This window comes from Homo sapiens, chromosome X (genome assembly GCF_000001405.40).
Source record: "Homo sapiens chromosome X, GRCh38.p14 Primary Assembly".
Lineage (NCBI taxonomy): Eukaryota > Metazoa > Chordata > Mammalia > Primates > Hominidae > Homo > Homo sapiens.
Window position 1 is genome coordinate 128,690,000 of NC_000023.11, and position 16,900 is coordinate 128,706,899.

The following is a 16,900-nucleotide window of genomic DNA, read 5'->3' on the forward strand; positions in this document are numbered from 1 at the left end:
AAAGCTGTATTAATAATATAGAACAATATTTTTGAGATCTTGAATAATTCTTTTTATTTTAATTATTATTATACTTTAAGTTTTAGGGTACATGTGCACAATGTGCAGGTTAGTTACATATGTATACATGTGCCATGCTGCTGTGCTGAACCCATTAACTCATCATTTAGTATTAGGTATATCTCCTACAGCTATCCCTCCCCCCTCCCCCCATCCCACAACAGTCCCCAGAGTGTGATGTTCCCCTTCCTGTGTCCATGTGTTCTCATTGTTCAATTCCCACCTATGAGTGAGAACATGGGGTGTTTGGTTTTTTGTCCTTGCGATAGTTTACTGAGAATGATGATTTCCAATTTCATCCATGTCCCTACAAAGGACATGAACTCATCATTTTTTATGGCTGCATAGTATTCCATGGTGTATATGTGCCACATTTTCTTAATCCAGTCTATCATTGTTGGACATTTGGGTTGGTTCCAAGTCTTTGCTATTGTGTATAGTGCTGCAATAAACATACGTGTGCATGTGTCTTTATAACAGCATGATTTATAGTCCTTTGGGTATATACCCAATAAGGGGATGGCTGGGTCAAATGGTATTTCTAGTTCTAGATCCCTGAGGAATCGCCACACTGACTTCCACATTGGTTGAACTAGTTTACAGTCCCACCAACAGTGTAAAAGTGTTCCTATTTCTCCACATCCTCTCCAGCACCTGTTGTTTCCTGACTTTTTAATGATTGCCATTCTAACTGGTGTGAGATGGTATGTCATTGTGCTTTTGATTTGCATTTCTCTGATGGCCAGTGATGGTGAGCATTTTTTCATGTGTTTTTTTGGCTGCATAAATGTCTTCTTTTGAGAAGTGTCTGTTCATGTCCTTCGCCCACTTTTTGATTGGGTTGTTTGTTTTTTTCTTGTAAATTTGCTGGAGTTCATTGTAGATTCTGGATACTAGCCCTTTGTCAGATGAGTAGGTTGTGAAAATTTTCTCCCATTTTGTAGGTTGCCTGTTCACTCTGATGGTAGTTTCTTTTGCTGTGCAGAAGCTCTATAGTTTAATTAGATCCCATTTGTCAATTTTGGCTTTTGTTGCCATTGCTTTTGGTGTTTTAGACATGAAGTCCTTGCCCATGCCTATGTCCTGAATGGTAATGCCTAGGTTTTCTTCTAGGGTTTTTATGGTTTTAGGTCTAACGTTTAAGTATTTAATCCATCTGGAATTAATTTTTGTATAAGGTGTAAGGAAGGGATCCAGTTTCAGCTTTCTACATATGGCTAGCCAGTTCTAACCTGAAAAAAAATATGATGAATGGGAGTTTACCAAATTTAAATAACTTCTGTTTAAAAAGAGATACTACAAAGAAAGTGAAAATACAAGCCACAAAATGGCTTTTGCCATATATAACTGACAAAGGGTACATATACAAATTAAGAATATTATCAACATTACGTTGAATGAAATAATCCATATAAAAGAGTGTACAGACTAGATGACACAAATTTTATAAAATTCAAAATATGCAAGTCTAATCTATGTTGTTAGATATCAGGATAGTGGTTACCTCTGGGGAAGCCGATAGGGATAATGAATACAGGAAGTAAAGTGGGGCTTGGGGGACTTATAATGTTCTTTCTTTGTTTATTTATTTTTTTTGAGACAGAGTCTCGCACTATCATCCAGGCTGGAGTGCTGTGGCACGATCTTGGCTCACTGCAACCTCCGCCCCCTGGGTTCAAGGGATTCTCCTGCTTCAGCCTCCCGAGTAGATGAGACTACAGGTGCCTGCCACCAAGCCCGGCTAATTTTTGTATTTTTAGTAGAGACGGGGCTTCACCATGTTGGCCAGGCTGGTCTCGAACTCCTGACTTCAGGTGATCCACCCGCCTCAGCATCCCAAAGTGCTGGGATTACAGGCGTGAGCCACTGTGCCCGGCCTTGTAATGTTCTTTATTGACTTGTGTAATAATTATAACAGGTGTGTCACTCTGTGGTCGTTCACTGTCATGTTTAAGTCTGGGTCATGAATGCCACTTCATATTACATTGGAACTTTTAATGGCTTCTTGGTTGACTCAGCCCTCTCACTACCATGCCCATATCTCTGTTGTAAGCTCACTTGCACAAAGCTTAACAATTCAAAGGGTGACTAATATTTTATTGACATGAAAAAGAACTAGGTGTGTCTGTGGGGCGGGCAGAGAGAGATAATAAGGAAAAACGTAGGGATATGAAAAATGGGGTATCCTTCAATACCAGACTATTTAGGAACCACATTGTCAAAAAGCACAAGAAGCCAAAACTTGGAACAGCCATTCCCATTGCATATCTATGCACCTACCACATATAATCAGATATAACAGAAGTAAAAACCATGTACATAAGATTATTCTCCAGCTTTTTCCTTATATGTTTTTAGACATTTGCCTACGCACATAAATACACACTAACATAAGTTTATCACCATCACCATCCCTGCTCCTAATATTCCCTTCTTTAGTATCTCAATGTTAGTATCTCTATTTCCTCACTGATAAAACAATTAAAACAGTTTAGGTCACAAGCTATAATACATGACCTTAAAGCCCAGGAAAGACAGGCAAGAAAGATTCAAACAGAAAAATATCTAGTCCAGTAGTTCTTGAAAACTTTAGTGTAAATTAAAATTACCTGGAAGACTTTGTTAAAATACAAATTCTTAGGCCTTTCTCATCAAGAGTCTACATTTTAAAAGCATCACAGGTGTTTCTGCTGCAAGTGGCTTATGGGGAGGAATACTGATCAAACTGAACATCCTAACTCCCCTCAGGATTATTATATTACCATGCCATATATATTAACTCTGGATCTATTTTTAAAATTTATTTTCTAGGAAAAGAAAAATCTATAACATTTACCAGGCATCATAATAATCGCCTATTTTCTAAAAACTTCCACTTAGATTTGATTTTTTTAATAATACAATACCATTGTAACATACACTAAGGGAACCAGCTATTTAAAGGAACCCTATGGTGAATCCTTCTGTAAAGTGAAAACAATTCCCTTGATTTATTGTTGCATAAATCCAGATTTTCATATCTGAATTCACCTGCTGGGGAGAAATGTTCTCCCCATTGTCTAGGTCCTCTTTGCTAGCCTTCTTTCAATATGTGGCCTTCTCACAATTCTATGATTTATATGGAGCAATTTAGAGAAGTAAACAAGTAGTGCTGCATGTTTAACTAGACTGATTGGATTGAAGGGCTGCCAGTAGCTAGCAAGACAAAAGATAAAAGGGGCTTGGGCTTCTGTATAGAAGGAAAACAAAGTAAAAAGGAGGAGGCTACCACCAAAAGAAGATGTGTACAACGCTGAGAACCGTAAAGAGATAGAGCTATGAAGCTCAAGAGCCCTAAGCTTCAGATATTGTTTTTCATAAGCTGGAGAAGGAATTACCTGCAGGATAGAGTCACCAGTCCCTTCAATGGCAAGGTAAACTTAGAGAAATCTCTAATCTGATCTGGGATATGATCACAGAGGAACTAGGAAGTGGAGACTTGTTAGAGATGCATGAAGGGAAAGATGTGAGTCTGAAAGAGGCTATCTTTCAAGGCTATTTCACACCTATAGAACCAAGGTTATTTGTATGTTTGTTGTCTCTTTAACACTCTATGACCTATAATAACAACATACCTATAGCAAATGAGATCTCAAATCCAGTGAAAATAGTCAGAAAATATGGTATATAAACTCACTACTGAGGACGGAGTTGAAGTTGTATCCCTCTGGCCACAGCCCATAAAGAAACCCTGATAACATCATAGCAGCAAAGACAAAATGAAACTTTTTGAATCATAGAGTCTACATGTTAGAATGAACAGGAATCCAACACTATGTCTTCTTTGCCAAATACCTAAGACACAAATGCCTATCATGAAACCTAAGACATTGGTATATAAGCACAATAAATGAGATGATTTGGACAGGATTCTGAGGACCACGTGTAGCATATTGTTAATTTATAAAATTGTCAATTCCCTTCCTCTTTATTTCCTACCAGTCTGAACTTATTTTCAACAAGATACCTTTCTTAAAACATGAAATGCCATAATGGGCTAAGGTCCAATTTGCCACCAATTAAATTAAATACATTATTTCTGCACATTTAGTACCTGCCAGTACTGTGGAGGACACAAACATGAATCAAACAGGACCTTTGTGTTAACCGGAACAGCCTTTTCCTTTCAATATGGAGTTGCAAAATTACCTTCCTTATTGATCACACCCTTAGTAATATACCATTAGAACTCCTACTTTAAAGGGAAAAACAGTTCATAAATGATGTAAGATGTGCACAAATGACCTCAATGTGAAGAACAAGTCAAAATGCCACAGATTTCTGGTAAGTCCTATGAAATTCACCAGTTGTTTTAAAATTAATCACAACAGTTAATCAGAAGAAGAAATGCATAATTCATAAAATTTTATTTTTCTTAAATGACAGCAGTATATATCAAACCCACCCATCTGAGAGGCAGCTGGAGTCCTTTCTCACATTGTCAGGCACAGTCAAGATCAGGGGAGTATATGAAGCATGGGAAAAATGTAGCATGGCATCAAATACTAAAATCATCCTATACTCAAAAGCCAAACTGTTCATCATTCACATCCAGGGGAAAATAAATATAGGAAACTAAGAGCTGAGTTTCTGAAGTATAGCTCTATCTTTAATTGCCCGCTTGGCAAGGCTTCCTGTCCCATGCAAACACTATATACCAGTACTCCAAAGTCAGCCACAAACAGAAAGGGCTTCTCTTCCCAGAAATGCCATCATGCCCTGGAGTCTAAATTAACAAGAATTTAGCCATCATAGGATCTGATTATCTTCCTTTTTGTCAACCTTGGGGAATTGCCATAACCCCTAAACATTTTAATTTTCTTTGAATCATTTTCCAATGAATATTGTAGATATGACACCCTTGATGTTCTTTTTCTTCTTTTGAAACATATTTATATACATCCAGTTCATGCTATCTTTTAGGGCTAACAAGTTTCATCTATTAAAGCAGTGGTTTTCACATTTTATTTTAGGAATGGAAGCTTTTCTTTTTACCCCAAATGGTCATGAAATCAAATATGTAAGACAGATCAAAGTGAAGCTAGTCTGGTTGAAGCAGGGCTGTGGATGTGTGGAGCCCTGCTGCCTGAGCCTCCCTCTCCTCCCCAGTCCCTTAGTGGCTCTTCGGGGGGGCTTTGCAGAACTCCTAGGTAAAAGGTATCCTTTTAACTATTATTATATCAGGGAGAAAATGTTATTTTAATAACTGGACAGAATTTCTCAGAGAAGAAGCAATAATATTTGTTACAAAATAACTTGATAGTCGATTGGGCATAAAAGGTGAGATCAGGAGAACCTGCATTAGAAAGAAAAAGCTTAAAATAGAGCAAGTTTAACTTTCCTGCATAAAAATTTAATAAGAGTTTGTGGTAAGGGAGAGAGGTAAAAGGACATTTGTGATGCTGTGAAATAAGCCTCCTTCAATTCCCCAAACACAAAAAGCTCATATGGGTGTGTATGTGTTGTGAAAATCAATGAAATGTGGCTAAGCCCCCAATTCTGGGCTGGCGTGGAACAAAGGAAAGAAAAGAACAAGGGAAGGAGAAAGAGGCCAGTAAGAATGAAAACTCATTAGACGCAAAACATCAGAACTGAAAGAAATAATAAAATGTGAGTCCCTTTTAATTTCCAGGAAATAAAATGGGAGGGCAATGAACTTCCAACAGAATATGGGCTAGGCTTCGGATATAACATTATCTAAATTTCAAAAACTGCAACTTAAGACTTAGGTCCAAAATGCTTCTATTTGGCACACGAGGGGACTGTGATAGCTTTCTGTCTGAGGTTGAAATGAAAAATAACTGAAAAGATCCCTCTCTTCTTCCTAAGTCTTCTTCCAAGTCGTTAGCCCTTACACAGAGAGACAGAGACAAAGGAAGAGACAGAGAAAAAGAAAGACTTTCTTAACACTCCTAGAAAAAAAGTGGAGAAAAGGAAGAGGAAGATGAAGGAGGAAACAAAAGTAGAAGGGGAGAAAAGATAGGAATAAAAACAACAAAAAAAAATAAGTGTTATGACATAAAATGAGGTAAGTAGGAGACTAGGAACAGAAGGGAAAGAGTAAGGTATGGGTAAATTTCTATTCAAGTAAGGAAAGCCCATTTTACAAATGAACTTTTCTCCTCACCCAAAGCGTAACTTAGAAAGTCCAAAGTCCTGAGAAAGCATGGCTTATCCTAATTCCCTTTATCACCCAATTTGCAATTTGGAGAAGAAGGGAGCTTAGGGTTCTCCATTATTTTTCCCTCTGAGGATTTCCCTTTGGGAGTGGAAATTGGAGGAAATCTTGGAAAAAAAATAACTTACCCTTGAAAACATCTAAGGCTTGGTATCAGCCTATCATTGCCTCTCCAAATTACCATCTCATTCTTCTCTGCATGGAGTTTCACCTTCTCTTTAGTTCTTGAAAGAGTTCTGAATCACTTTCTTCAACTTGAAGAGAAAATATTACCTTTTATAAGAAAAAAAAATCATGCTATTCTCCCTTTCATGTTTGCTTATGATTAACTTGGTCATGAAAGCTCTTTCCTCTGAGATATTTACTGTGACATGTCATCTATGCTGCTATAATAAACAGTATTCCAACAATTGTCTCTTTGCCATATCTCATTATCAGGCCAGTACCCAGCCAGAGCCACACAGAGCAGTAACATGGAGAAAACATTACTCTTCTGCTTCCCTAAAACCTGTGGTTTCCAATGTTTTAGAAATCTAAAGACCTTTAACAACACATTTGTGAAACTATTCTCTGCTGAATACCATTTAATTGAGAAAATCTATGCTAATAAATAGCGATTGAACTGAATAATACTTTCCCATCAACTTGTACTTTATTAATCACAGAAGCGACATGAATTTATTTAATCAATGGTAGCACATAAAGTAACCATATATGTTACTTATTCAGTCCACAGACAGTGCTTGGTCCTCAAATACATCCTTGGTCCCTTGCAATAATGCAATGCTTTTCCTCTTCCCAAGATGTCTATGGCTTACACGTTGGAAACCACTGGGCATTTTCTAATTGGAACAGCCTTTTCCTTTCAATGTGCAATTGCAAAATTACCTTTTCTACTGATCACACCCTTACTCATACATCTTCAGGACTCAAACTTTCAGTTTGGGCCACACATGCATATTATTATTTATATGCCTTAGTTGTTTTTCTCTCCAGAAGCAGACTATCACCTTGAGAGTAGGGTTCCACAGCAATTTCTTCTATTTCTCATGCCTCCCACATATCACACTTCAGGGCCCTGCAGAAATTTATTAATTCTGGTTATATGAAAAAAATCACTCTCTGTTTTCTCAATGTGTCCAGGTACATTCTTTGTCACCTCTTTCACCCTCGAAGTATGGAACTACCTATAAATCCCTTAACACATCAGGCTATCTCAGATCTTTGTGAATTCGCACATTCTAGGTTTCCTCACCAACTGGACTAGGAGATTTAGGAGGCTAGGTAAATGTCTTTCTCAGACAGTATAATAGTCACAACGCTTCATTCCTTTATTCAACAAATATTTGTTAATTATCAATAGCTGTTCTTCTAAGACAATCTGTAAACTCCTTAAGAAAAACAACGGTATTTTTAACATCTCTAGATGACTAGGACACAGTTCCTGGCGCATAATAGATGGTCTGAATATGGTGATTGAATTGATTTATCACAGCTATTGTAAATGCAACCCACCTCTGCCTATAATCTGAATATCTTATGTGTAGAAGACCAGCCAGTTAAAGATTTTGGCATAGACTTTACACACACACACACTACTCCTCCTGGAGCTACTCATCTGGCCTCAGAGAAAGATTGTTTTTTGCTTTTGCATGTTAGTCTTAAAAGTTTTGAAATATTTCCCATTAAAAAGGCAGCTACTGAAGTAGTTAAAAGACAATGGAATCGGACAAATCTAGGTATAAATTCTGACTCCATCACTTATTACTTGTGTGACCTTGGGGAAGTCACCTGATTTTTCTGAGTCTCAATTTTATCACCTACAAAATGTGGAGGAAAATAATCCCTATTCTCCATGGTAAATATGTAGCAAATAATTTGGCAGACAGTAAGTGCTCAATTAATATTAGCTAACAATATTGAAAAGTATTGTTAAGGTTTATTATATATCCCTAAAAGAATGCCACAGGCCCTGAATAAAACACATTTATCACTTAAATGTAGCCCTTTAAATCCTTACCCACTCCTCTCCCAAAGTCCTTCCCTAGTCAGGGACCAGGACTAAACAACTGCTTGCAAAACGTACAGGAATATTCCCTTGAGCTTTCAGAGGCTTTGGGATACTGATCAGTGTCATCAGGCCTACCTCTGCACTTAGTGCAAAATATCCCACAGGACACAAGGCAAATGAGGCAGTTCGTTATCTGGAGGCTGGCTTTCTGTGAAGAATCACCTTCTCTTCTCCATTAAAATAAATATTGTGACATTTTGAATATCTGTGTTTTTTAAATGTCTTGTGATAAAAAAAAAAAAAGGACGAGGAGGCTTTAAAAAATCAGAAGCTAGGCTAAGAGTGAACAGAAATCTTGCTAGAATTATTACTAAGGAGACTGATTGTATGCAGATGGCCTGGCAAATGGTAGGTAGGGGGAGGTGTTAGCAGCCTGGAGTGACTTGGAAGTTGGCAAGCAAGGAAAGGGCTAATTGGAAAAGGGCCATTTCAAGGATTCACTGTGCTGGCAGGAAGTCACAAAACATGTCATCACCCTCACTTTCCTCACTTTTTTGTTTCTTCTGATTCCATGCAGTTAGTGGTTAGAGGTAAGAGAAGGCATAGACTGTCTCAGTTTGGCTAAGTTAGAACAGACTCTAGGCTCCAGGTCAGTGGTTGGCAAACTTTTTCTGTAAACAGCCAAGTAGTAAATAGTTTATGCTTTGCAGACCATATGGTCTCTGTCACAATTACTCAACTTTGCTACTGTAGTGCAAAAACAGCCATAGACAATAAGAAATGAATGGCCATGGCTGTGTTCCAATAAAACTTTATTTACAAAAACAGCCTGCTATCTGAATTTGGTTCATGGGCCATAGTTTGACCACCTCTGCTCCAGAAGTATACATCTGAGGGAGCCAAGAAAAGATACCCAAAAAGAGTATTTTTGGAAAATAGGAACAGCATGTGCAGACCCAAGATCATGAGATTATAGCTATTATCTAGCTATATGACCTTGGGTAAACTCTAAATCTGTTTATATCTTAGTTTCCTTATCTGTGAAATGAGGTAGTTAGAGTTGATTATGATAATCAAGATGATTAACATATCTATCCCTTTACATAGCTATCTTTCTTTTTGTGGCAAGGACACTTAAGATTTGGTCTCTTAGCAATTTCAACTATACAATACAGTATTATTAACTATAGACCTCATGTCATACTTTAGTTTTCTAGAAGTTATTCATTCTACTAACTGAAACTTGTATCTTTTGACCAACATCTTCCCATTCCCTACCTCCACCCTGGCCCCCTTTACCCCTAGTAACCACCAATCTACTCTATGCTTTCATAAATTTACCTTTTTTAGATTCCACATATAAGTGAGATCACATACCATTCATCTTTCTGTGTCTGGCTTATTTCACCTAGCATAATGTCCCCTGGGTTAATACAAAGGCCCGCCATGTGTTTCTACAATCTGCCATCAATTGGCTGGAAGTTGAGCTCTTCTCTTGCACCAAAGATGGCTTGAGATATGTTCCCTATATATATGATGATGTTTTGGCTTTTCTCTTCTTCTGTGTGAGAGAGAAAGAAGGGGAGAGAAAGAAGGAGGGAAAGAGATTTCATTTGCTGAGAAAATGGAGGAAGAGAAGAAGGGAGGGGAGTTTTTAAGAGACAGCTGAGTCATAACAGCTTCTGCAAAATCACTGGAGTCAAATACAGCAAAATTAGATCTAAACTGGGATTTTAAAAACCTACTATTATCTCATCTGTTATTCTGAAAACCCTCAAAAAGCTGATAACATCACGGCTAGCTAGCATCTACAGGGCAATTTTATCCAAGCCAGCTGGTTTTTTCTAACAGCACCTGCAAAATTAGACTAAATTAACTGAAAGACTAGCCTGAATTATTAGCACTGCCCCGGGGACTCAAGCAGTGGTGTAGGATGGTTTCATTGACCAAAAATAAAGGGAAAATATGATAAAACCATCTCACTTCAAATAATTTTACCATTCATAATGGCCACTAAAAGACAAATTAAAGGATTTATGCCTTAGTGAGTATTTCCTTTCTTTCTGAGATCTTACATACAGAAGCAGATAATACTGCACCATACCGGTTGTGTAGCAAATGTAAAGGCAGAATATATATGTCAAATGTGAGGATTAATTTAAAGCAAGAAATAGAATTTCTTGAAATAGTGTATTATGGAATGGAAGGAACAGTTAAAAAGCCAGAACCTAAAGGAACAGGAACCCAGTTAGTTCCAGGGATCACAATAACAGAAGGTTTTTGACCTCTCTGACCCCCCACCCCCGCACTGAGGTAGCCAGTATCCTAAAATTTGTCGATCATCATTTCATTCCTTTAAAATTTTACTAAATTCATATGCAGCCCTAAAAATACATTTCAAGTTTTACAGGTTTTAATTTATGTAAATGTAATCACATATGCATTCTTATGTGACTTTTTTTACTTATATTTGTAAGATTCATTCATGCTGATATGTATTGTCATAGTTGATCCTTTTTTTTTTTTTTACAACTGTATAGTATTTTACTGTGTGAATACACCATGTTTTATTTACCATTCTCCTGTCAATGGACATTTGGGTTGTTCCCAGATGTTTGCTAATAAAACAATGTTGTTGGAGGAGGGAAGGATAAATAGAGCATTGAGGAATTATAAGGCAGTGAAACAATTCTGTATAATACTACAATGAAGGATACATGTCATTATACAGTATTGAAACCCATAGAATGTACAATATCAAGGGCAAATCCTAATGTAAACTATGGACTTTGGGTGATAATGATGTGTCAATGCAGGCTTGTCGATGGTAACAAGTGTACCATTCTGGTGAGGGATGTTAGTGGTGGGAGAGGCTATGCATGTGTGGAGACAGAGTGTATGGGAACTCTGTACTTTCTGTTCAGTTTTTCTGTGAACCTAAAACTGCTCTAAAAATAAAGATTATTAAAAAAGCAATACCGTTATACAAGCATTCATTCAGTAGAGAGTCATTGAGCTCTTACAATGGACCAGAAACTAGTCTGGGCCCATGGATTTCAGTAGTAAAGCAGCAGACAAAAATGTCTGGCTTCAAGGAGTTTATATTGCAGTGGGGGAAAACAGCATATTAGATGGTGCTAAGTGCTATGGATAAATTTAGAGCGGGAAAAGGGGTTAGGCAGTATTGGCAGGGTATAATTTTAAAAGAGAGTGGTCAGGGTAAGGCTTACTGAGAAAGTGATATTTGAGTAAAATCCTGAAGTAGATGAGGGAGCAAGTAATTCTCCTCTTGGTGAAGAGTGTTTCAGAGATTAGCAACAAATGCACAAGTCCTAAGATAGAAGCATTTCTGGAGTGTTAAGAAAACAGCAGGGAAGGTCCTGAGGTTGGAGCCGAGTAAGCAAAGAAGAGAGTTAAAGGACATGAAGTCAGACAGGTAATGAGAAGGTGGGCAGAATAGATTCTGTAGAACCTTTTAGGTAATTGTTAGAATTTGGGCTTTTATTCTGGGAGAGGTGAAAAACTACTAAACATGTATTTCTAGAATATATGTGGCAGTATTTCTAGAATATATGTGGCAGTATTTCTAGAATATATATGGTAGAATTATTGGATGACAGGGTACACATATCTTCAACATCACTAATGAATACCAAATTATTATCAAATAAAACCATAGCAATATACACTTCTATATTTATGAGTATATAAAAGATACTCATAGCTATACAACTTCACCAACAGTGACATTATCAGACTTAAATATGTTTGCCAATCTGTAGATTTAAAATGATGTCTAATTGAGGACATAGTTTTTATTTTTCTGATGACTAATGAGACTGAGCTTTTATTCATTTTTTCATGAAATAATTTTATTTCAACTCTTCACGTCATTGGCATATTTTTTTTTACCAAAACCAAGCCATTTTTTGAGTCACATTATATTTTCTTCTAAGTTGTTTAAGATCCAGTTTTTTAAAAATCTGTGCATGATGCTTTCACTGAAATTTTTATCCTAAGCCTCAAGTAACTTTTTGATTTTTTTTTATTTCTGCAACATAATCACTTTCAGCATTTATAAGACTTTAAAATTGGGGAATAATTTACATGCAGTAAAATGCACAGACCCTTAAGTGTAAAGTACTTTCATTTTTGACAAATGCTTACAGCTGTGTGACCCAGATCCCTATCCAGATATAAAACAGTCTATTGCCTCTGAAAGTTTCCTTTTGTCCCTTTTGAATCCTCTCCCCAGTCCCTGCACCCAGTGCCAGAAGTAACCACTGATCTATTACAATAGATTAGTTACAATAGATTAGTTTCGCCTATTGTAGAACTTAGTGTGAATAAAATCGTACAGTATATATGCTCTCATATCGTACAGTATATACGCTCTCATGTCTGCCATTTTTTTACTCACTATATTTTTGAGATTTATCTGTGTCTTGTATATATCATTGATACTTTACTTTTTAGTGATGAGTAGTATTCCATTGTATGAAGACAGTTTGTCTATTCTCCTATTAATGGATATCTGGACTATTTCTAGTTTGATGTTTTTATTAATTAATCTGCTGTTATGGACTGAATATTTGTGTCCCCTCAAAATTCATATGTTGGAATTTTAACCCTCCATGTGGTAATATTAGGAGGTGAGATTTGGAGGAGGTAGTTGGGTCATGAGGGTGGAGCCTTCATGATTGGCATTAGTGTCCTCATAAAAACATGCCCAAGGAAGCTGTTTAGCTTCCTTTTGGCTATGTGAGGATACAGTAAGAAGTCAGAAGTGTGCAACAGAGAAGAGTCCTCATCAGAATCTGATCATGCTGGCACTGTGATCTCTGATTTCCAGACTCCAGAATTATAAGAAATTAATATTTTATGTTTAAGCCAACCAGTCTGTGGTAATTTTTTATAAAAGCCCAAAAGGGCTAAGACAACTGCTAGGACCATTCTTATACAGAGCTTGGTGTGGACAAATGTTTTTATTTCTCTTGCATAAGTACCTAGTAGTGTAACTGCTGGCTGAGGGAGTAAAATCTGCCAAAAAAGTTTCTAAAGTCATTTTATACTTCACACTCTTACCAGCAATGTATGAGTTACAGTAGCTCCAAAGTCTTGCCAACATTTTATGGTGTCAGACTTTTTCATTTTAGGCATTTCAGAGGGTTGTATCTCATTGTGAACTGGTATCTTATTGTGGTTTCTTCATATCTTTATTTGACTTTTGTTTTTCCTATCCTGTGATGTGTCTCCCTAACTCTTTAGCCCATTTTTCTATTGAAATGTTTGTCCTTTTCTTTCTTAATTCGGGACAATTATTTATATTTCTGGCGTCTCATATTTTGTCAGTGTAGTGTGTTGCAAATATATTCTCCGGTTTAGGGCTTATTATTTTATTTTCATGAAGATGTCTTTTGATGATCAACAGTGATTTTTCCCCAGTTTTATTGACGTATAATGGACAAACAAAAACTGTATATGTTTAAAGTAAGTATACAACATACTTCATAAAATGTTTTAATATGCATATACATTGTGAAATAATTACCACAAACAAGCTAATTAACATATCTATCACCTCACAAAGTAACACTTTTTTTTGCAAGTGGTGAGAACATTTAAGATCTACTCTGCAATCTATCCATCTGACAAAGGGCTAATATCAAGAATCTACAAGGAACTTAAACAAATTTACAAGAAAAAATCAAACATCCCCATCAAAAAGTGGGCAAAGGTTATGAACTTCTCAAAAGAAGACATTTATGTGGCCAACAAATGTTTGAAAAAAAGCTAATCATCACTGGTCATTAGAGAAATGCAAATCAAAACCACAGTGAGATACCATCTCACGCCAGTTAGAATGGCGATCATTAAAAAGTCAGGAAAGAACAGATGCTGGAGAATGTGTGAAGAAATAGGAACACATTTACACTCTTGGTGGGAGTGTAAATTAGTTTAGCCATTGTGGAAGACAGTGTGGCGATTCCTCAAGGATCTAGAACAAGAAATACCATTTGACCCAGCAATCCCATTACTGGGTATATACCCACAGGATTATAAATCATTCTGCTATAAAGACACCTGCACATGTATGTTTATTGCAGCCCTATTCACAATAGCAAAGACTTGGAACCAACCTAAACGCCCATCAATGATAGACTAGATAAAGAAAATGTGGCACATATACACTGTGGAATACTATGCAGCCATAAAAAAGAATGAGTTCATGTCCTTTGCAGGGTCAAGGATGAAGCTGGAAATCATCATTCTCAGCAAACTGACACAGGAACAGAAAACCAAACACCACATGTTCTCACTCATAAGTGGGAGTCGAACAATGAGAACACATGGACACAGGGAGGGGAACATCACACAACGGGGCCTGTTGGGGGGTGGGAGGCTAGGGGAGGGATAGCATTAGGAGAAATACCTAATGTAGATGACAGGTTGATGGGTGCAGCAAACCACCATGGCACGTGTATAATTATATAACAAACCTGCACGTTCTGCACATGTATCCCAGAACTTAAAGTATAATAAAAAAAATTACATGTTAGAAATGTGTTCTATTCCTTGGAAAATATGCTGTTATATGAAAAAGGCATGTTGCAAAGAGATGTTATAAGATTACCTTTTCCTTTGAAAATGTATCTCTATATATTATATGTGCATACCTCACACAAACATATGTGTGTATACACACACATGCAAAGTTATTTCAGCTGAGACTGTAGCTGAAGGGAACATGCTATGGTTTAAGACACTGTATGCTGTGGAGGAAAGTCAATTCCAATAATTTGTTATAAGAGCTCACATATTTCGAATCAAGGCATTCTGGTAAGAACATGATTTATTTAATGTTTCACTTTTCTAAATGTATAGATCTACATATGAAACATGTTTTGCCTATGGTAACTAAAGAATTCATCCCTATTTGTATTATCTATGTTGACTGAAGTAGACAGCCCTCACTTTCACAATTAAATTGCATTCAACTTCTTCAGGCAAGAAAGTCAGTGGCTCATTCTTTTCATAATTAAAGACATAGTACCTGTTTTACTTCCAGTAATGGCAAAGTAAGTCACATTGAACCAAACCTCCCATAGCTAGCAATTATAAACTCTGGGGAAAAAAATAAAATAACTATCTAAAAGCACTTGAAGACACTAGAACTTATTTCTTCTATCTAACTGTATGTTTGTACCCATTAACCATCTCTCTTCATTCCCCCAACCCTCCCCAGCCTCAGCTAACTACCATTCTACTGTCTACCTCCATGAGATCAAATTTTATAACTCCTACACATAAGTGAGAACATGAGAACATGTTGTATTCATCTTTCTGTGCCTGGCTTACTTGATTTAATATAATGACTTCCAGTTCCATCCATGTTGCTGAAAATGAGAGGATTTCATTATTTTGTATGACTAAATGGTATTCCATTGTGTATATATACCACATTTTCTTTGTCCATTCATCCATTGATGGGCACTTGGGTTGATTCCCTAGCTTGGCTATTGTGAATAGAGCTGCAATAAACATAGGGGTGCAGGTTTCCCTTTGATATAACAATTTCCTTTCCTTTGGATAAATGCCCAGTAGTGTGATTGCTGGATCATATGGTAGTTCTATGTTTCGTTTTTTTGAGAAACCTCCATACTGTTTTCATAGAACAGTAGGCTGACTATAGTTAACAATTTATTGTATATTTCAAAGTAGCTAGAAGAGAAGATTTGAAATATTCCCAACACAAAGAAATTATAAATGTTCAAGGCAATGGATATTTTAAATAGTCTAATTAGATCATTACACATTATATGTATGTACCAAAATATCACATGTACCCCATAAATGTGTACTCATTATGTGTCAATAAAACTTTTTTTAAAAAAGATCTACTCTCTTAACAGATTTCAAATATACAATACAGTATTGTTAACTACAGTTACATCAATATTTATTAAGTCCCCAGTACTTATTCATCCTGCAAAACTGAAACTTTGTACCCTTTGACTAACACCTCCCCATTTCTCCCACCCGCTAATCTTTAGTCACCACCATTCTACTCTCTGCTTCTATTAGTTGAACTTTTTAAGATTTCACATATAAGTGAGATCATGCAGTATTTGTCTTTTTGTGTCTGGCTTATTTCACTTAGCATAACATCCTCCAGGTTCATCCATGTTGTTTTAAAACACAGAATTTTATTTTTATTTTGTAAGACTGAAAAATACTCCATTGTGTGTGTGTGTGTGTGTGTGTGTGTGTATTATTCTGCAGTATCAATTGTAATGTCTTCTCTTTCTTTTATGATTTTATTTATTTGAGTCTTTTCTTTTTTTCTTAGTTTGTCTAGCTAAAGGTTTGGCCATTTTGCTTGTGTTCTCAAAAAAGCCAACTCAATCTTATTGATATTTTTCTATTGTTTATTTTTCTCTTTCATTTATTTCTGCTCTGATCTTTATCCCTTTCCTCTGCTTACTTTGGGCTTAATTTGCTTTTGTATGGTTCCTTAATGTGTAAAATTAGATTGTTTGTTTGAAACCTTTCTCTTTTTTCTCTTAATAGAACCATTTATCACTATGGACTTATCTCTTAGAACTGTTTTT

At 36.5% G+C, this 16,900-nt stretch overlaps 1 long non-coding RNA gene across 1 annotated transcript in view; it reads right to left on the minus strand.

The window, feature by feature from the left end:
* LOC107985698 (uncharacterized) overlaps window positions 1-7,692 on the minus strand; it is a 375,495-nt gene extending 367,803 nt beyond the window's left edge. Inside the window, exons 1-2 of the long non-coding RNA XR_002958819.2 lie at window positions 7,166-7,692; window positions 6,406-6,531 (exon numbers count right to left, since the gene is read on the minus strand). This is a non-coding gene — a long non-coding RNA (uncharacterized LOC107985698). The remainder of the gene's footprint in view (window positions 1-6,405; window positions 6,532-7,165) is intronic.
* Window positions 7,693-16,900: the final 9,208 nt, after the last annotated feature.